The sequence below is a fragment of the Homo sapiens genome, chromosome 3, assembly GCF_000001405.40.
Source record: "Homo sapiens chromosome 3, GRCh38.p14 Primary Assembly".
Lineage (NCBI taxonomy): Eukaryota > Metazoa > Chordata > Mammalia > Primates > Hominidae > Homo > Homo sapiens.
Window position 1 is genome coordinate 172,901,265 of NC_000003.12, and position 21,542 is coordinate 172,922,806.

Sequence of the window (21,542 nt, forward strand, 5' to 3'; positions counted from 1 at the left end):
TCTCGCATCACTGCAACCTCCACCTCCCGGGTTCAAGCGATTCTCCTGCTTCAGCCTCCTGAATAGCTGGGACTACAGGCATGTGCCATCATGCCTTGCTAATTTTTGTATTTTTAGTAGAGATGGAGTTTTGCCATGATGGCCAGGCTGGTCTCAAACTCCTGGTCTCAAGTGATCCACCTGCCTTGGCCTCCCAAATTGTTGAGATTACAGGCATGAACCATTGCACCTGGCCTAAAATGTCAATAATTCTAATATATCTGACATCTCTGTTTTGGCAGTCATTGATTGTCTTTCTTCATTCAGTTTGAGATCTTTCCGGTTTTTGGTGTGATGAGTGATCTTTGAAATCTGGACATTTTGGGTATTTTATTATGAGGGAACTGCCTTGTTACTTCCACGTGGAAACAGAGGTTCAGGTTCCCAATTCACCCTCCATAACACCTGACGGAGAGGCTTCTCATTACTTCTGGGTGGTGATGGGAGTTCAAGCTCCTCACTGGGTTTCCACTGATACCTTCGTGGCTTGGAGGGTAGGAATATCTTATCACTGTTTCCCACGTGGCCTTCACTGACACAACATTGTGGGAGAAGACTCACTACCATTGCTGGGTGCTAAAAATCCTGACTTTCTACCAGGTCTCCTCCAACACCATACCAGCAAGGATGGGGAAGGAAAAGGGGAGATTTACTTCCTACTGGGGATAAAAGTCCAGACTCCCTACTTGTTCTTCTCTGACACTACCCTGTTAGGGTAGGAAGATTGGGATACCTTGTGTTTTTATTTTTGAGAGACGGAGTCTTGCTCTGTCACCCAGGCTGGAGTGCGGTGACATGATCTCGGCTCACTGAAACCTCCGCCTCTCGGGTTCAAGTGATTCTCCTGCCTCAGCTTTCCAAGTAGCTGGGACTACAGGCATGTGCCACAACACCCAGCTAATTTTTGTATTTTTTTAGTAGAGATGGGGTTTCACTCTATGTTGGCCGGGCTGGCCTCGAACTCCTGACCTCAGGTGATCTGCCCACCTCAGCCTCCCAAAGTGCTGGGATAACAGGCATGAGCCACCACGCCCAGCCATGTCTAGGGATTTTAATTGTATATAATGGGGTGAATGGGGGAAAGCAAATCTACTCTATATTCTTCAAAGTAGAAGTACTCTATCATAGGTTTTTAAAAAATGATTTTGACCCCTGTGCCTTAGGAAGATGTGCTTTCATTTCTTGAATCAGTTTGACCAGTTGCTTCTAAATAGCTTTATTAATATGATAAAGTGAATCACCTATTGTAAAGCTGAAGGAGCCTTCTTTCCATAAGAGGTCTTTGGAAGTTAAAAGCCTTTCAAATTTCTTGTAATAAGAGATAGGTCTTACTTTATTCTACATCTAAGTTAGGGTCTCTCCAACATATGTCCACACTCATCTTCTCACCAGCCCTCTCATGTTCCTCTCCAGAGTCTATTCTCCAGCAGAAAGTCATTTCGGTAGAGTACACATTAGTTTAATTCAATTTTGATGATGCTGAGAGACATGGGTATATTTTGCTGTGGAATTTGTGTGTGTTTTAGATTCCAGTCTTGTCCCCTTCTCCACAGGTATCATTTTAAGAAAATCATAATCAGAAGGATAAATGATCCATGTCTTCCTTTAGAGCTGCATGTAAAGGCACTTTTATTTTTGCCCTTCTCCCAGAGATGAAAGGTATAATGAATACACTACAAATGACTGAATGAGCTACAAGTCAATTGCTCTGAACTCTGTATTAATCCCACTTTCAATACAGAATGGAAGATGTCCTATGGTTCATTTAGCTACCAAGTGGTATAAGCTGTTATTCTGTTATTCTCCAGAATTATAAAGGATTGCAAAACGTAATGTATAAAAGACAGGCAATAAAATGCTGGACTGCCAAGCAAAGAAGACATTTTTAGTAATTTAAAGGAAGCAATGTATAGAAGGAACTACAAACTTACTCTTCAGTTCAACATGCAATTGAGATATATGTTTCCACTCCTCTCACCAGAATATTACACTGAAATTTGGAAAGATGCATTTTGAAAAACTTTTGCAAAGATAAAACTCCTCTAATAGATTTGGACTAATACGAGCATTTCCAATTTCTGTTTTAGTCACTTCCATAAATTAGCTCATAAGTGGATCAGGCAGAGAAAGTGCTCAGGAAGTGGAGGTGGTAGACTTTGTGTTGGTCCACTTCCAGCCTCAAGACCCCCTGTGCTGTGATGGTAAAACTTGGAGGGGTTATGGCAATATATGCTTATAAAATTGTGTTTTCACTGAAAGCCTGATGCATTTCTGGATGATAATTCAGATTATTCACTAGAGAGTGACCCTCAGGGCGACAGTAAGTATACTGCAGAAATGTCTAGATTTCTAAGCTGTTTCCTTGAAGTTCTGAAGTTGCAGAAAGAGGGAAAATAGTGAGCTATCAAAGCAAACCTTAACATGATATGTCTACAAAGGGAAGGATGGTGAGGGAGGACAGTAAGAGCATCATGATTCAGGGAAGTGCAGTGGGTCAGGCAGCTACCACGAAGCAGTGTGGGCAAGTCGCCAGATGGGCAGCAAGCTGTGACCTAGTGACAGACAAAGGATTCCCTGCCAAAAAGAAGACTCAAAGATTGTCTCATTGGCTGTCTTACAGAATCTGAACTTAGGTCAGGCAACGTTCTTTGTGCCATTGACTTGTGACAGCTTTGTTTGGTTTAATATAAGTGTGCTAGTCAACAATTAAGAACAAGCCTTTGACCCAAACAAATCTATTTCAAAATTAAACCCTGTCACTACAAAGTTGGGCTTGTTTTCTTAATTCTACACAGCTATTTTCCCTCATCTTTCAAAAGAGAGATAAAGATGTCTCTCTTATAGGGTTGTTGCAATCATTTAAATGTGATAATGTATTGAAATGCTTGGCACACACTAAGACATCAGGAATAATAACTGATAATATCTGTCATCATCATTATCAGTTACTTATCTGAAATAAATTTTTCTATAGCTTGTTCCAATTGTGATAGTTATTCAAAAGCAAGCTTCAGACAAACTAACATAGTTTGATAATTTGTGGGGTAATACAGTATTTTATTAGGTACATGTGAATGGTGGCAGATTAGCTTTGTCTGCCCCTTGATAAATTCTTGTTTAAAAGTGGCCGAGCTCCTGGATACATGCTCCCTAGATGAGGGCCATGCCATGATTTGACGCCTGCTCAGAAATACTTCTGCTGCAGAGGTTTCCTGCCAAATCATCAAAGTTTTAGAAGACAGTATTTTCAGCCAACAAAGCACTTAAAAGAGGTGTTTCCAGTTTTGGAGGCAAGGCCAACTACAGGTGCAAAGTGGGTGATTAGCAAATGCAGCTGCTGAAAATGTTTTACCTATTAACCTTATACTTTTCCCTGGAAGTCAGAGGAGAAAGATGTTGGTTTAAATTATAATTGAAGTTTACCATCTAGATTTGGAGCATTGGACTGTGGTGGGAAAGATGGCCAGACCAAGGCTTTCGGCTCTCTCCATTCCACAGGCGAGGCTTGGGCTTTGCTCTGTAAACCATCTGGAAATGAGGTCCTCCCTTCCCGGGTCCGATTGCCCCAGGGCTTAGCTTCTGAACACAATCACGAGGCTCTGCCAGGACTTTGGTTAAGGCTCTTCCACTGCAGTTGCTGGCCTGGATGCCATTAACACAGATCCATTAGTCCCAGGAACCTGGCCTCTTTCAGCCCCTTGGGTCTTGTCTCCCTCCCTGCTTGTCCTAGGAAACTTTCCTCTCCTCCCCAGCGTGATCAGCAGTAAAAGCACTTAGGTTTCTTTCCCTGCATGATCTGCACTACGCCTTGGACAGAACTGCTTAGTAGTGCTTGGAGCACACACACTGTAAAGGAATTTGGGGATATGCTAATAAGGAAGCCCATAACCAAAAGCAAGAAGATTCACAATCAAATTGCAATAAATCTGCAGAGACTCCTTAAAGAACAAGACACACAGGAAAAGGCTGACTGCTGGAAAGACTGCTTTGCAAATGAATGGTACGGCTGCTGAATCTTCGAAAAGACAGCAGTACCCTCAGAAGTACTAACCCAGCCACATATTAGCCCAAATGACTGGCCGATGAATGATAGTGCCATGTGTACAATCTCTCTCAGAAGAGTTTCTGGAAGGATTTGGGCTTAAATGCTGATGTGGAAAGTAAATAAAATGTTCCAACTGGCTTTTCCCTCTACCTCCTCAACCAACTGCCCCTGCCTCATTTCCCAAATTTGTATTCTCTCCTGTTTGCTTTGCCTACCTCAACAGTCTTGAACAGAACAGAGTTGCTAAGTAACATGTAACTCCATCACATTTTCATCCTAAAAGACCAAATTAGTATATCAGTGAATGCCATTTCCGTAGGATCACAATAAGTATGATTCATAAGTTAAGATTTTGAGGTTAAAAAGGAACACAAGAAGCAAAATAATTTTGAATAAATTCATATGGATGGTTTAAAGGATTACCTATACTCTATTTGTTGGATTCATTGAAGCTTAGGAGGTACTATATTATATTAGATGAAATTTTAAAGTGGCATTTCTCCTCAGGAAAACTCACAGGTCCGAAAGTATATGCTGGAGCACTTTTCTCATTACTTTTAATGTAACAAAGTTTTATTTTCCTCATTTAGTCTTCAATCAGTGATCCAGAGGCATAGCAGAACAAGACAATACTGTATGTCATACCAGGTTAAATGCTGATCTTCTCAATGCCAGGTTTAGGCTTTATAAATGAAGAGCAAATAACTTTTTCTTCTTAGTTGCAGACAGAGTGTTGCTTAGCTGTTTGATTCTATGACAAGAAGAAATAGAAGTGTTCCAACTTAACAGTTGGTGCTTTTTTTTAAGACCCCTTTTTCTATTTACTTTAAGCCTAGTTCTTAAAACTCCAAGGGACCTTGGGATTCAATGGTAACAGAAAATCATGGGATCTAAAAGTGATGTGGGCAAGGACACATCATGCTTCTCAGAAGGCTATAACTTGCCCACTGTCCTGTGAGTGGGAGCTGAATTAATGGTTAAGGATTTGCAGATTTAGGCTCTGTATTCTTTCTGGATATAGATGGAAAACTAAGGAACAGAGATGGAGGATCCTATACAAGTAAGTTACAGAGGTAGACTAGCATAAATTCCTCAGTGACTCTTTGGCTCAGATTGAAAGAACTTTATTTTGAGAACTGAAGACAAACTGGGCTGGTTTATAGCCAAATTCCACTTTGGTTGGAGGTCACCTTAATTCCCCACTCGGCCTCACACCTGAATGTTCAACTACAGACAACAGTGCTGGTCACTCAGGCTGTTTCAGGCAGCACAAAACTTGGGCTTTTATCAAGAAAGAGTTTAGGCTCCAGGGTCAGATGAATTCCTAGCTCTGCCATTTACTGGCTGTGTGACTTTAGGCAAACTGCTAAACTTCTCTCTAATACATTTTACTTTTTTATTTTTTATTTTTGAGACAAAGTCTCGCTCTGTTGCCCAGGCTGGAATGCAGTGGCGCAATCTTGGCTCACTGCAACCTCCGCTTCCGGGGTTCAAGCAATTCTCCTGCCTCAGCCTCCCCAGTAGCTGGGACTACAGGTGCCCGCTACCACGCCCGGCTAATTTTTTTTGTATCTTTAGTAGAGATGGGGTTTCACCGTGTTAGCCAGGATGTACATTATACTTTTTACCTCTCATGAGGATTATGAGTTTGGTATATGTAAAGTAAATAGGAGAGTTTGGGTCCCTATTAAGAGCTCAGAAAATATTAACTCCTATCCTTTCGTTTGATGATCTGACTTTCAAAAGGCCTGTTCAATCACAGCTGCAAGGGGACTTAGAATCATCCAGCGCAATATCCTTATTTTACATGAGAACACTGCAGAGAAAGGAAGTGGCTTCCGACTTAATTTGTGACAGACACAGGTCCCCAAATTGCTAGTTCAGGGTTTTCCTGTTTTATTTTGTTTGTGTTTTCTTATACTAGTCTCCCTCTAAATCAGCCTTTGCCCTTCTGAATAGATCACTTCTCACCTCCACTCCTACCACTGCGTTCAAGGGTTAAGCCACCATTATTGCTCTCACTGCAATAACCGACTAACTCATTTCCCTACTTCTATTCTTGCCTTCTTCAATCTATTTCCAACTTAACAGCTTAGAGTGCTTCTTTGCAAAGCATTATGTCCTCTCTCACTTCATCTCTTACTACTCTCATTCATTCAGCTTGTTACCCTACCCTGCTTGCTGTTCCTTGTGCATGTTGGCACACTCCAATCTCAGGTTTGGTGTTTTTTTTGTTTTTTTTTTGAGACAGAGTTTCACTGTTGTTACCCAAGCAGGAGTGCAATGGCGCGATCTTGGCTCACTGCAACCTCTGCCTCCTGGGTTCAAGCGATTCTTCTGCCTCAGCCTCTTGAGTAGCTGGGATTACAGGTGCGTGCCACCATGCCCAGCTAATTTTTTTGTATTTTTAGTAGAAACGGGGTTTCACCATGTTAGCCAGGCTGGTCTCAAACTCCTGACCTCAGGTGATCTGCCCACCTCGGCCTCCCAAAGTGTTGGTATTACAGACGTGAGCCACCGTGCCCAGCCCAGTCTCAGGTTTTACATGTGCTATTTTCTTTACTTGGGATGCTTTTCACCAGATATTTGCATGATATGCTCCCTCCTCTGGCACTTTCCATTTTCCTATTGCGCTTTCTCCCCCATGGGGCATTCACTACTTTATAACATATCCTGTATTTCTTTAGGTAGTGTTTGCCTACTTCAGTAGAGTGCAGACATTATGAGGGCACTGCTTGTTCATGGCTGTTTCTCCAGTGTCTAGAATGATGACTGACACAGAGGAGGTATCCAGTAAATGTGTGATGAGTGCATAAATGAGCAATGTGTCAACAGGATTTGTGGGATGTTCAAAAGAGTATGTTTCCTCAGGTGTTTTAGTCATATAATAAAACTAAGCAAATGTTCTATCCTTAATTAAATATGCTGTGGCAGCGGACTTTCCAACACATAAAAATTTACCTTTTTTTAAAAAAAAATCATAACCTGGTCATTTTGTATTTGCATAGCTAAACCTACAGACATCTATCTTTCTTGAGTTAATTGTTAGGAAATACTCTGCAAAGCCAAACCAAAACCACAACCACTTTCTGAAAACTCTGTAAAGAATATATTTCCATTCTGGTGAATCAAGAGAAAATACATTTGTTTCATTCTGTCTCTTTCTGGGCTCTGAGAGAAACTTCAAAGAAAACAAAATGTAGACAGGAGGTCAGCTTTCATGAATCAGATTTCATCTTGATCGGCTTTTTATAGACCTATAGCAAAGTAGAGCCCTGAAAATTGTGTTAGGTAATGGGGATTCTGACAGACCCTTTAACTATGTGGAACTAGGAGGTTCTGCTATAATTCTGCTGCTTCAGATGAAAATTTCAAGTGTTTTCATTAGTTACAACAGCTGTTTCTATTACAGATAACAGATCTCAGAGGTGGTGATGCTGATATCAACTTCTACTGGGCTCAGAACACAGTGTAGCTTGTACAATTAGGTTTTTTTTTTTAATTATTTTTTTTTCTGCACACGCAAATTAACTCTGTAGCAGTAAAAGGAAATTACTTACTTGCTACCGGAATTGTCTGAAAGTGATACAATCATCTTTTGTAGAGTCACATTAACCAAATTAAAAGCCCTTGGGAAAAATTTGGCACCCTGTTCCTTCCCATTCACATCTTCCTCAAGACCTCTCATTTAGAAAGTGATGATCATTATCAGGACTTTTAATTTGGAAAGATTGGCTGCTCACCAGTGAGCCTTTCTAGATACCCAGTGGTTGGGTAGAGTGGCTGTACTGTGTTTCAGCCTTGGAGGCCTTGACTTTACTATCCTCCTGCTTGCTTGAATGTATGATTTCTAGCCTGGGACACACAACCACAGTCCTGCTACTCTACATTGTTACCAAGATGGTGCCATCATTTTATTCTCTCATTGAATACAAATATTAATCCTTCATTGAGAGGAGGTGGATTGATTCTTCCAACTCTTGGAACCTAAGCTGGCCTGTGACTGCTTTGATGAGTGGAATGTGGTGGGATTTGCTGTGCAAGTTCTAGGCTTACCCTTTAAGAGGATTGATGGTTTCTACTTCCTTTCTCTTAAAATACTCCCCTTCTTGACACCCAGTTCATAGGAGCACATTCTGTGATGGATTTGCCACTATTTTGCCACGCTGTTTAAAGCCCAATTCACATAGAGAGGCCACGGTTAGGTACTCCAGTCAACTACCTCAGTGATTAGTGTCAACTGTAAGCCACGTGAGTGAACCATCTTGGATTTCAGTCCATTTTAGCCTTCAGATGACTCCAGCCCCATGCATGGAAGCCATTTGACTAAACTGCATGAGATGCATTGAGTAAGAGCCACCTACAGGAGTTTGGTCAACTCAAAGAACTAACTGTGAGATAATTTTGAATTGTTGTTTTAAACTGCTACATTTGGAGTGGTTTGGTTTGTAACGCAGCAATAGATAACAACTGTAATGTCGCAAAATAGTGGCAAATCCATCATAGGATGTGCTCCTATGAACATGGGTATCAAAGATCTTTTAAGTGAGATGAAATTAGTTGTTGTTTACATGATATAGACAGATATCATGTCAATCCTTATTGTATCTTTTTAGCTGGTCCCTAGAAGTTAATAATTGGATTATTGTTCTGTTACCGTTTGGATTTGTAAATACAAATATTTACTGTACAAATGCAATTTTTTTGGGAGAGGTAATGCTCTACACCAGAGTACAGCAAATGCTTTTTTTTTTTTTTTTTTTGAGACAGAGTCTCACTCTGTCGCCCAGGCTGGAGTGCAGTGGTGCGATCTTGGCTCACTGCAACCTCTGCCTCCTGGGTTCAAGCTATTCTGCTGCCTCAGCCTCCTGAGTAGCTGGGATTACAGGCATGTGCCAACACACCTGGCTAATTTTTGTATTTTTAGTAGAGATGGGGTTTCACCATGTTGGCCAGGCTGGTCTTAAACTCCTGACCTCGTGATCCGCCCGCCTTGGCCTTCCAAAGTGCTGGGGTTACAGGCGTGAGCCACTGCGCCCGGCCAGCAAATGTTTTCTGATGGTGCTAGATAGTAAATATTTTAGGCTTTGTGAGCTATTATGGTTCTTGTGGCTACTACTTAACTCAGTCAAGTTGACTTAGATAATATGTAAATAAATGGCATGGCTGTGTGAAATCAACTTTATTGACAAAAATAGATAACATACTAGATTTGACCTGCAGACTGTAGTTTGTTGACCCTTGTTCTAAACAACTATTTCTATAGCCAACAGAGATATGTGATTATATTGCTTGAGTCTCATGAGGACCACGTTTGGCTGCTCTATCTCTAATTCCTCTTGCCAGTCCTTCTTAGTCTCTGTCATGGGCTTCTCCGCCTAAGTTTGAAATGTGCTCCTCAAGGCCCTCTTCTCTCCTTACTCTATTATACTCTTTCTAAGCCATGATTTCAGCTAATGACAATTTGCCAATGACTAAGAAATATCTATCTTTATTCAGTCTTTTATCCGGAACCCCAGGCTTTTGTATTTCCTGTTGGATGTCTTGCCAGCACCCTATGTGAACATAGGTGCACTTTCGTGCCAGTTGTTAACCTATAGCCTTGCAACTCCAAATCCGCTCTTTTATACTCAGCTCTGTGATAAATATGGCTGGGACTCTGCAATTCCATTTCTTTTTTGCCAACTGTTAGATTCTGTCATCAGAGGGCATTAGAAGGAGAAAGAAGGGACTTGCTTCTTCTTTGCTTCTTGTTTACTTCTGTCTGCTTTAGGGTTCCTGGGAGTATCTCTTCAACAAACCTTCAATCAGAAACATACTTTCTTTTCTGTAGTAGCAGCCAAATTTAGTTTTTCCAAAAGTTGCAAACTACATCCATTACTACCCGCCTCCCCATCACTTCCCATAGCACCGGTGGGTCAGTGGCCCCTTCTTGGAGGTTTGGGTCCCAGCCCTTCAGGACTCTAACCTCAGGGACACCAGTACCAGCTGAGCAGCACCTTCTAGTGGGGAGTCTGAGTTTTGGCTTAGTAGGGTCCCTGCTCCAAGTTTCTAAGTTTTGGCCATTCCAACTTCTCTTTGATTCCCCAGCCCGAAGACATGGTGGTTGCTTTCTTTAATGGTTTTCTTTGTGACAACTTACTGTTCTCCTTTGCTTCTTCAGTTACCTAATTAACAACTTCATAAGTTACTTAACCATTCTTTATATTAAATTTCCATTCATATATCTGGCATGGTTTCTTTCTCCCAACTGAATTCTAAAGGCATTTATATTCTTGGCCAAAAGCTGCTCCTATGAGAGTGTCTTCTTCTTTAGTAAGTGGCACCAGCAAACCTTTCCCTATTCCCTGCTCAATTGCTCAAGCAAGTATCTAGGCATCATTCTTAACCTTTTCTTTTCTCTCAACTCCCAGATCCCATCAGTTGAACAAGGCCTATAGATGTGGCTTCCTGAATATTTCTTAGGTCCGTCTGCTTTCTCTTCTTCTCTGTGCCCACAACCCTAAACCAAGACACCAGCATATCTCACCTGGATGATGATCCCTACTTTATAACTGACTTCCCCACATTTCTGTAGCCCCTCAATCTCTTCTCCCCACCACAGCCCTAAAGATGTCTTAAAAACATTTTCTAGTTAAATATACTCTAAAACATTCCAAACCTAATTTATAAGTCCTTCTGTAATTTCTCCTGCCTCTGCACTTCATTTTGAAATATCTTCTGTACGTTCTGGTTAGTTTTTGAATGTGCCATGCTTTTTTAAAAAACACTTCAGTACGAAGTGGTCCCTCTGTTTAGAAATATCCCCTTTTACCTGGAAAACCACTACACATTCTTTAAATGCTGTATAAATATCATTTTCTTAGAGGCAGTGTTTCTGACCTCCCAGACAAGGCTATTCTGCCATTTGTTTCCATAGATCATTGAACATCCCCTTTATTTTGCAATATTCAGTTAGCCCATAAGTAGCTTTGTAGATCATAAGGACCATACAGGCAAGAGCTGTGCCTGTCTTGCTGAGCACAATATTTCCAATATCTAACTATTTTTTCTGGCATGGTAGATATGTATTCAACACATATTTGCTGACAGTCAGTTTCTGGGTTTTTTTGTACATACAGTGGACTCTTGAGCAACATGGGTTTGAAATGTGTAGGTCCATTTATAGGCATATTTTCTTCTGCTTTTGCCACCACTGAGACAGCAAGACCAATCACCTCCTCAGCCAATTCGACATGAAGACAACAAGGGTGAAGACCTTCACTTCCACTGAATGAATAGTAAATATATTTTCTCTTCATTATGATTGTCTTAATAACATTTTCTTTTTTCTAGCTTACATTATTGTAAGAATACAGTATATAATACATATATACAATACGTGTGAATCAACGCTTTATGTTACCATAAGGCTTTCAGTCAATAGTAGGCTATTGGTAGTTAAGTTTTTAGGGAGCCAAAAGCTAATTGTAGATTTTTGACTGTGCTCCTAACCACCACGTTGTTCAAGGGTCAACTGTATATCACAGGGCCTCTGAGTTCATTACAAAAGACACGTGTTTCCTCAGGTGCTCCAGAATCCCTTAGGGTTGGCTTTTAAACTGAAGGTTCTTTTGTTTGTTTCACATCTCCTGATGCCAGTCTCCCCTGGTGGGTTCTTACAGTGATGGGAGGAAGATGAATGGGGAGTTGATTGATCAGAACTTAATACTTTGAGTTTGACTGGAGAACCAAGATTACTAACTTTCACATTTTCAGAGGGTCCTGTTGTGTCACACAAGTCTCCTGAGTACTTGGGTCCAGGTGCATCTCGGCACTTCCTGCATTTAAACCCCAGTAGCCAATGATGGGATGTTCCTCTATTTCTAACAATTAGTATGTTAGTTCTTTACTAAAAACATCAATGTGCTAGTTTCTTTGTAGTTCCCTGAAATGTAGTCATTATTCCTCAAGTGAAAAAAGTGGAAATATAGTTGAGGAGTGGACTAAAACACTGATGAAAGGGCTTTAAAGAATTATAAAACCGAGAACGAAGGCGCAGATAATGAAAATAGAATATGAAAATGAGCATGATAATGAAGAAAAATCACGAAAGCATATGAACACAGCCTGTTGGAAAAGAAGCAGATTAAATAAATCCATATTTGATTTTGGTCACACTTCCAGGGAGAGAGCTGCATTTAATTAAAAAAGGAAAACAAAAAAACAAACCAAAGAACTTGGGTTTCTTTTTATCCTCCAAACAGATTTGACCCAAAATGGACATTTTCTTTGAGAATAATAGATCTTTTTCCTTCAGCTCAAAGTTTTACCTTTTGGATCATATTCCACACACGTTCATTATTGTTTCTTCTTCCTTCAAGGGTGTCCATAGCATCTGCCATTAGTGACTGCAGCTGTGGCACCAAGATAAAAATTATCAGTGTGGAATTCACACAGAAATAACTTCTCTAAATACACAGATTAAAACCTAATTAAAAAATCATTTGTACGCTGATGATTTTATTACTCATCTTTCCTACAATGAATATTGCCACCTCATCTTTGCTTGTCATTGCCGAATATTATTGCAGATATAAAATACTGAAACAATGAAAAGATTCTTCTCGAAAATTTGTAAAAAACATATAGGTTTTAATGTAGTAAGTGTTGATGTTTTGTGAAAAACAGATTGGGGTTGTAAAGAATGAAGGCAGTAGTTAATTCTCTCAGGAAATGGCATGTAGTACATGAAGGCATTTTAGCGTTTTCTCCTGAGGCTAATGTATCATAATTCTAGGCATCAAGCAAAAGCTCACCAGAGGACAATACTACAATTATGCTGTTTTATTGCCTCTTAAAGAATCTAGCTCATTTAACTTCTTTTACTGTTTTTTTCTTTGTTAAAATTTTAAAATAGCCAAGTTTTTTTTATTTTTAGGTCCCATTCGAAGGCAAGTTTTAAACATTCTAACCTTTGCCCCAAACAGGCACCTGCTGTACTCTAATGTGAAAGTATCCTGTACACATGGTGTGTATTTGACCACGAAAGTGAAATGAAGTTACATCAAGCCATGTGCTATTCAAAGGTTAAAAAAAGTTCTTAAAAAATACCAGTTCAGTTCACTATGACATCAAACAGTAATGGACCTTAGATAATCTTTCTTTGGTTTAGATATTGCAGCGTGAAAGCAGGAGGAGAGATAATTGAGTCACTCAAAATCTTCTATTAAGCAATCACTGTTTAGATAGCAGCATACAGGGTATTACTAGGATTAATTCTCTAGGTTAACCCACACTTGTAAGTTGCAAAGTAAAATCTATTATTGAAGGTCATCAAACCTTATAAGATATATAATGTTTAAATGCTTGGCATACAGATATACATCCACATATATTTAAATATTTTTCTGCTGGGTATATAAGTACAAAAATATCCAATGAAATTTCATTTTATAGGGTTTCAAATAGAGAAAAATTACACTTTAGAAAGGAATGTCAATAATGCTAGTTTGAGGCTCTTTGTATATATTTTGAAAAATAAGTATTTCCAGTAAAAAAAAAAATATAGATGTGTGATTAAGAAGACTTAAGTGCAGAGAATTCCCCTGTATTTTTCATTTAAATCTTGAATGTGCTTTTCAGGAAGACAGGATCAACATTTTGCCGGCTTCTTAAATTAACATTTTCTTTGCTTCCTCTTATCTCAGAGGAGCATTAATCATCTAAAATAGGCTACAATATGCACTTTGAAAGCTCCATACTTACTATACTTCTGAGTGCCTTATGAATGGCAGGATAAACATTTAACCTTTTAGAAGGTGTTCTTTTGCACACAACCATAAAGTTTAGAAAGTATTATTGCCAGTTTTGACTTGGTAATTCCTTGATTCATAGACTTATTTCATAGTTTTCATCTTTAGTATGCATAGTTTTATTATTTGGCTAGTCATACAACTTCCTGTGCTTACTCTGAATATCAGTATTTATTTAACATGCTTTTAGCAGGTTTAGATGAACATTATAAATGTTGGCAGCTCATTTCTTGAGTAAATCTTAAAAAGCTCAAAGGGGGAGGGTTTCTTTAGTCATCTGAAAATTACAGGTAATCAGTTTGGGCTGTTCTCATCATTACTATGTGAATTCAATTCAGGGCTATAATTAGTTTTAGCTGCTCTCAATTAAAGCTTCTAAGTAAAGGGCCTTTCCCTACAACACACTAGGAGCTTCATATAGAGTAAATTTTACCTTTCCTTGAACAGGCAGCACACTGTTTAGTAAACTGTTTTTCAAATGAGGTGCTATCATTTCTAATATTAATTATGGTTATAATATGCACATCTGTCTGAAGATTATTTCTGTGAGAATCCCTTCAACTAGTTTTTGCCTGGGTCTGTGTGTGGCTAAAGTGTCTGGTTTTCTGAATAAACTCATCAGTTCAGCTAAAAAAACCCCATCTATTTTGACTAGCTATGTTTTCCCTTCAAATAAACAGCTTTTGTTGATTTATCTAAGTGTACTAGTGTTGGCACTGCCAATATCTATTTTAACCCTAGAAGTGATTAAGAAAACTCTAAAGATGATTTTCTAGGGTCATTTTTCTATACAGCAATTACTCTTTTGTCCTCTCACTTTTTCATAAAAGAGAATCATATATCAATATATCTTGGAGTTTATTAAACAATCTCATTTTACCAAAAACCAGAAGCCTGACACATGATATAAATAACCAGCCTCTTTCTATGTTTTTACACATCACAACGTTTTTGCTGTAATAATGGAAGCTAGTTAATGTGAGCAAATAAAAACCAGACACACACCTTCCTACATTTTTCAGTTTTGCCATTAGAATGCTTCAAGAAGGTTTGGGAGTTTGCCCTCAGGCTACATTTATTACCACAGGATTTTTTTTTTTTTTTTTCCCCAGACCATATCACTTTTCTGTTGGCTCTGGGCCTATGAAACCCTTAAACAAAGAAAAATACTTACCAATTCTGCCTCCTGTTGACTGATGTCCTGTAGGTAGGGAATGGTTGCTAGCTCTGCCATTGCTTGATTAATCACCTGGGACTGCTCCTTTACTCTCTGCAGCTGGCTGAGGAGGCTGGCATATTGCAACTTCTCCATCACACCTGAGGATGCAGGAAAACTCCCCTAGTCTCAAAGTAAAAGAAATGTTTTAGAACAAAACCACGGAAATAGACCTCTCCCCAGGGCTGGAAGTCAGGGCTTGTGATAACGTATTTACATCTTTTGAAATAACGGAATCTAGTACAAATACATGTTTCCTTCTACCATTTTACAGAATTGTCTTATACCTCTTTTTCTAGTAGGTAAATATACATAAAAGGGAGTCCTTTGGAGAACTGTTGAGACGGATTTGCTGATTGTCTTGCATTAGGGAGCTAGGCTGAGGGGAAAAGAGGGGACTAAATTTGAATCTGCACTTCACTCACCCAGGAGTGATCCCACAGAGCTGTGTCTGCCTAGAAGGGGCGACTTTATCTATATCACCAAAGCATCATAAAAGGTAAGAGTTGCCTACTATCTTGTTTATCTGAAAGAAAATTTTTTAATGCAAGTTGAATCTTGACAAACGTTGTATAAGTTGAATTCTGTTTACCCCAATAGCTTACATGAAACCTCTAAGCTCTGCTTTTATTTCCAGTTCTTATTGGATAGCCTTGCACAGTCTCCTTTTCTTTTTGACTAGCTTCCCTCTGTCTACTGGGACCATTTCAACAACTAACATGTTCCATCTGGACACAGACTACTGTGTGCCTTTGTAAGGACTGCCAACTCCCATGGCATTTTGGGCTTTGTTAAGATGGGGCGCATTTAGAAAAAAGTGGCCCACCAAGGTGCCTGTTACTGCCATCCACAAAAGAGGAGACATTATCTTCTATAAAAATGTTTAATACAAATTGTAATGCTTGATAGGAGAGGCAACGTTAGTCATGAAATTCTTAAGTTTATCTTTAAGAAAAAGTACTTTTGATTTGGGGGTATATAAGGGTTAACATAAAAGCCTTGAGTTTCTGCTGCATTTAGAGGGTGATGAGAAATGGGAATTCAAAAGAGGACTTAGTTTGGCAATTGCATTTTACATCCTGGTGCTCAGAAGAGAAGTGACCAAGTGCCCCTTTAGAGCAGGGGCCCCCTGGACTGCCTACACCAGAATCACTATGCTCGCTTGTGGACTTGGCAGTTAGCAAACTGAATATTGGGCTTCACCCAATCACAATCTCTTGTTATGTGGCCCTAGAAATACAAATTTCAGCTAGGTGCCTCCCCAAATATTCAAATATCTCAAACAGAAGTTTGAGACAAACCACCACCTTAAAGCTTAGTATCTGAGTAAAGACTATTTTGGTTTGCGCATACTTATGAAACAGAATTTCTTCTAGAAATTAGAGAAGGCAGACATATAATTTCACTTTCTTAAGAGAATCTCCTCTAAGGAGAAAAACTGCTAGAAACTAATATTACTGAACTTCAACTTAAAATTAGAATGCACTTCTTTTTGAAAGGCCACACTCGTATTCTGACTGACAGCAACCTCTGGAAGCTGACATTTTCTCTAGAATCTTGGAAATAAAGAAAGGCTGGCACCATCGTGCTGTATCTGCTTTATTTGTCCCTAACACCTACATATGCTGTTCAGTGAATGTCTTCTTACTCACACTAATTTGTTCTTTCTGATTAATCATTTATCTGAAAATCTATAAATCTATAAGATTGATGATTGCAAATGGTAGATATGGGGTTCCTTCCTGAATTGATGAAAAACCTAGCCTACCCATCAGTTTAAACATGTAGCTAAACAATGGCATTCTGTCAAATAGAGGAAAGCAAGTTGGAGGAGAAACGGTTTTCATTCTGAAGAAAAATTGCTTTCTTTGTCCTTCTTTAAAATAAACAATGGGGCTAGTTGTAGGAAAGTGGTGTAGTGACTCAACCCTAAAGAGCAGAAACAACTGCAGGCTGCTCAGGAACATAATCTGTCAGTGTAATTTTCCAAAACGTCAGGAAAATAAACATAGTGGAAGGCAACAGTTTTAGCCTGATTGTTGGATGCATAACAAAACAGGAAGTGCTCTATTTGAATAAGATAACAGGGAAAGAATACAGTTGACTGCTAATAGTCACCCCTCCTCCCCCCGAAGCCAAATGCAGTTTTGGTTATCAGGAAACTGTAGATTAATATTTTACCTATCCAAGATAGGGGTTTTTGAAAGACAAAGTGAAAAAGAAATAAAATTGATATCTAGTGTGGCAGAAATGTTTTAATGCTGTTGCTTTAAGGAAATAAAGAAAATAATAAAAAATAGGAATTAGCTTAAATATCTAATGCTAACAAAGACTAAATCTAAAGGCAGGTAGCCCTCCCAGTGAGACTTCAGGAATGATCAAAGGGCTCCTTAGCTGCTGGAGAGAGTGTAATAAAGTGGCCACGACTGAAGCTAAAACCTCACACAGGTACAATGAGGGCTAGGTGATAGCAAGTTCAAGTGAAGGTTTCAGTCAGAGAACTGTCAAGATTTAATAGCAGTTACAAATAAATATTTGGCAAATAAGTGGCACTATATTATACTGCTGAAAAGCGGAGTCCAAGTCTTTGGAATGTATTTCCATTTGGCATAAGATACAGAAACATTCATTGCAAAAAAGGGGTAGGAAACACTTATTATTGTTCATTTCAAATGTGCATATGTAAACATTTTTTATGCTTCACTTGGAAGAAATTAAAAGTAAAATTAATGAAGTATTAAAAACATGGTTAGTTAGGTCATTTTTTGGCAAGTCATCCTGTGAAGGCGGCTTCATGCATGGCAAGAGATTTGATTATTTTAACTCTTTAACATTTAGCCCAGAAAGCACAGTACATAAGGTTTGAAACTGACAGCAGCCAATAAAGTTAATGAATGGAAAAGTATAGTGCCATCCAGTAGCATGTGAAATAATTAGGACAGAAATCCAGAAAATGAAAAATACCATAGCAGCAGGGCTGCTGGCTGAATGGGGTTGAGGTTCAGTAGGATTAGAAGTCACCAGCAAGGTTGTATCATATTGTAGATTATAACTCTTAAAATGCTAGAATCATCCTTGTTTGGCCATGTATTGTGTACCTAGTAGACTAATCTACAAAGATAAGGAAACCAGGGTCAGAAGTGTAAAGAGAATCATTGTCTGACACATAGAAACCTCTCTGAGACCAGGAAACGTATTTACCGACTGTATTCACCACCTCATAGCAAGAGTTGAAAATTCATGTTCTTTAGCAAGCTTTTTACAGTTAATTTTTGGAGTGTAATTTGTACATTATATGTTCATTTTAATTTTTTTTAATTCTTTATTTTTTTTTTTTGAGGCAGAGTCTTGCTCTGTTGCACAGGCTGGAGTGCAGTGGTGTGATCTCGGCCCACTGCAGACTCTGCCTCCCAGGTTCAAGCAATTCTCTTGCTTCAGCCTCCTGAATAGCTGGGACTACAGGCATGCGCCACCACATCTGACTATTTTTTTGTGTGTTTGTGTGTGTGTTTTTAATAGAGACAGAGTCTCACCATGTTGGTCAGGCTGGTCTCAAACTCCTGGCCTCAAGTGATCCACCCACCTCGGCCTCCCAAAGTGCTGGGATTACAGGCGTGAACCACTGCGCCCAGCCTATATGTTCATTTTTTAAAAATTGAATCCAGCTATGGAATCATTCCTATGTTGTGTGTTATGCATGTTTTGCCTCTGGCAAGGATCATAACTTTAAATCAAAGAGATGTAATATGATTTAGTAAAAGAATATTGGCACAATATTCTGAAGCTCTGATTTTGAGCCCTAGCTGTGTGAACTTGAATATATCACTACTCTGAGCCACAGTTTCCTCATTGGTAAAATGAAGGTGACACAATGTCACCAAATTGTGAGGGTCAAATTAGAGAATGTGAGGGAAAAATGCTTTTTAAATTGCAGAGCACTATGCATGTGCTTCTCCTAAACCATAGTTCCAAAGTAGAAATTTCTGCATGCAGTCAGCACCTAGTTAATGACCAGGACTGCTCTGTACTTTAAAAAAGATATGTTTGAGTAAAGAAAACTTCTTGACTATCAAATATTTCAAGGGTTTGGAAGCAAGAGTGTTTTGTTAGCTTTAGAAGAAAATTTTACTCACTTTATATTTAAAATGCTTTGGTTGAGAGTAAGTTGCTATACTATCTCTTTATATGTAATTTGTGGAGAACAAACATATGTATCTTTTAGTTTAATGGAGAAAAATTGAAAATTAGGGCAGCCAAAAAATATTCCCTATGATATTATAATTTAGTGTATTATTGCCAAGTTAACTTTTTTCTAATTAGATATTAGGTAGGTATTATAAACCTAATATTTACAAAGTGACTAAATATTCAATATGTTTAGGGAACAGATCATGAGAATTCTTGGCATTGTTTAAGTATTGTTTAGAAATCTACATATTTATCATTATTTATGTGACAGTATAAATGTGATAATAAAACATTGTGTAACTGATTCTGGTCATGGTATTATGTCAAGGACTAGTATCATCTTTTGGGTCTCCTGCTGTTATGAATGCTGAAGTTTTAATGCATTGCATTTTCATATTCCAAGCCCATTTTCATTAAATAACTTTGTCCAAATGAATTAAACATCTCTGAACATATATGGTATGAGGCAAAGTATATTTCCTAGCCATTAGTTCCACTTTTTTTGTTTTTGTCTTTTTTTTTTTTTTTCCATTTTGGGTAGAATGGAGTCTCACTACGTTGTCCAGGCAGGTCTTGAATTTCTGGGCTCAAGCTGTCCTTCCACTTCTGCCTCCCTAAGTGCTGGGATTACAGGCAATTTTTTCCTAGCCATTAGGCCTTGATGAAAATGTGACATTCTACTAGGGTAAAGAGTTGTCTGTTTGAAACAGACAACAGAAATGTAAACTAAAGCCTTAGCCACTAGTATTAAGGATGACTGAAAAATCTAAAATTCTTTAAGATAAATGTGTTGCACAAGACACTGGTCACTCACTGTCTTCTAATGGAAGTGTCTTTGATATTGGCTCTGTTCTACCAAGACATGTGAGGCTGCTTGTCACACGAGCATGGTCACAGCCTGCTGTCAACAAGACTGCAGTCCTGAGTCCAGTTCATGGCTGGAAATGGCATCTCAAATCCTGCCTGAGTGAAGGGATCTGAGCAAATCACTGATCAAAGGAAAGTAAGCTAAGGAAAAAAAAAATCAAAATTCACAGAACACGAGTGGAATCTTCATATTAGAAGAAAAATAGGTAATTTCAAACTACACAGCTTGGATAAAGAAAAAAAGAAGGTCTGTAAAACAGTCTCTTTGTCAAAGCAAACCAAAACCAATACAAATAATTAAAACTAAAATTCTTAATACTTTACAAAGTGCTTCAAGAACATGGATTATGTATTTATGGTTCACAACAACTCTGTGAAGTGGGCCTGGCAGTTATCAGCCTATTTTATAAATGAGAAAAAAATAGTTCAGAGGTTAAGTGACTTGCCCTAGGGTTACTTGGCCAGAGCATGGCCTTGGGCAAAAGTCTTTGTCTACACGTATCACAAATTAGGGTAACAAATAATGACAATTCAATGCCTAAATATTCAAGTGAATGTCATTTGGTATCTGACAAGAAAGAAAGAACACCTTGAAGGGTCTTAAAAACACTACAGAGGGCTCCTTGGGTTACAGTCAATGGTACCGTGTAGGAATAATTTCTAGTCACCAATTCATTATTTGCTTCATTAAGCTAGTTTACCTTTGCAGCCAATTTTATCAGTCCTCCCTTATGAAGCTGTGGCTGAGCAAATAATAAGAAACCTAGTACCTGATATTTAGATATATTTGTGATCCCTGGGCACTTTCAGGCTTACCTACTTCAATTTCATTAAAACTCTTTGAAACAATCTTCCAAAAACTGTTATTTCCCTTAAAAGCAAACATAGGAAAGTTGATGAAATTCCTTGCAGACAGCAAAGTGGTACTGAGACTCAATATGAGAAGACTGAGTTATTAATTAGATGTTAAGAATCTCATTAATTATGGTTTTAAAGTCTCCTTTATAGTCACATAAAAGATTCATGTCTAAACAAATTTCCAAATGGCCAGAATACTCTTTAAAAGGTGATAAGAAAATGAGTTAAGAACACTGAAAAAGTGCATAATGCCCAGTAAGGCCCAACCTATGTTCACATTGTGAAATCGGAGCTGGCAACAGATGATGTGGTCAGTTTCCTGACAAGTGACAAGGTAAGGCAGGCATTGCTTCAAAGAGCCAGGCCTGGCCAGGCATGGTAGCTTATGCCTGTAATCTCAGCACTTTGTGAGGCCAAGGCAGGTGGATCACTTGAGGCCAGGAGTTCAAGACCAGCCGGGCCAACATGGCAAAACCCTGTCTCTACTAAAAATACAAAAAAATTAGCTAGGCATGGTGGCACATGCTGTAATCCC

General features: G+C 38.8%; 1 protein-coding gene across 3 annotated transcripts in view; it reads right to left on the bottom strand.

Annotated features, from left to right (window-relative positions):
- The window catches only part of SPATA16 (spermatogenesis associated 16), a 251,879-nt gene that overhangs the window by 11,908 nt on the left and 218,429 nt on the right, over window positions 1-21,542 (bottom strand). The window contains exons 9-11 of one of the 3 annotated variants that reach the window (XM_006713778.4): window positions 15,053-15,217; window positions 12,397-12,480; window positions 4,636-4,835 (exon numbers count right to left, since the gene is read on the bottom strand). In XM_006713778.4, coding sequence (XP_006713841.1) covers window positions 4,800-4,835; window positions 12,397-12,480; window positions 15,053-15,217 — 285 coding nt within the window. In that variant the 3' untranslated portion in view covers window positions 4,636-4,799. Of the gene's footprint in view, window positions 1-4,635; window positions 4,836-12,396; window positions 12,481-15,052; window positions 15,218-20,897; window positions 21,021-21,542 lie in introns of those variants that run through there. The other 2 variants (NM_031955.6, XM_017007308.3) reach the window with 2 other exon arrangements.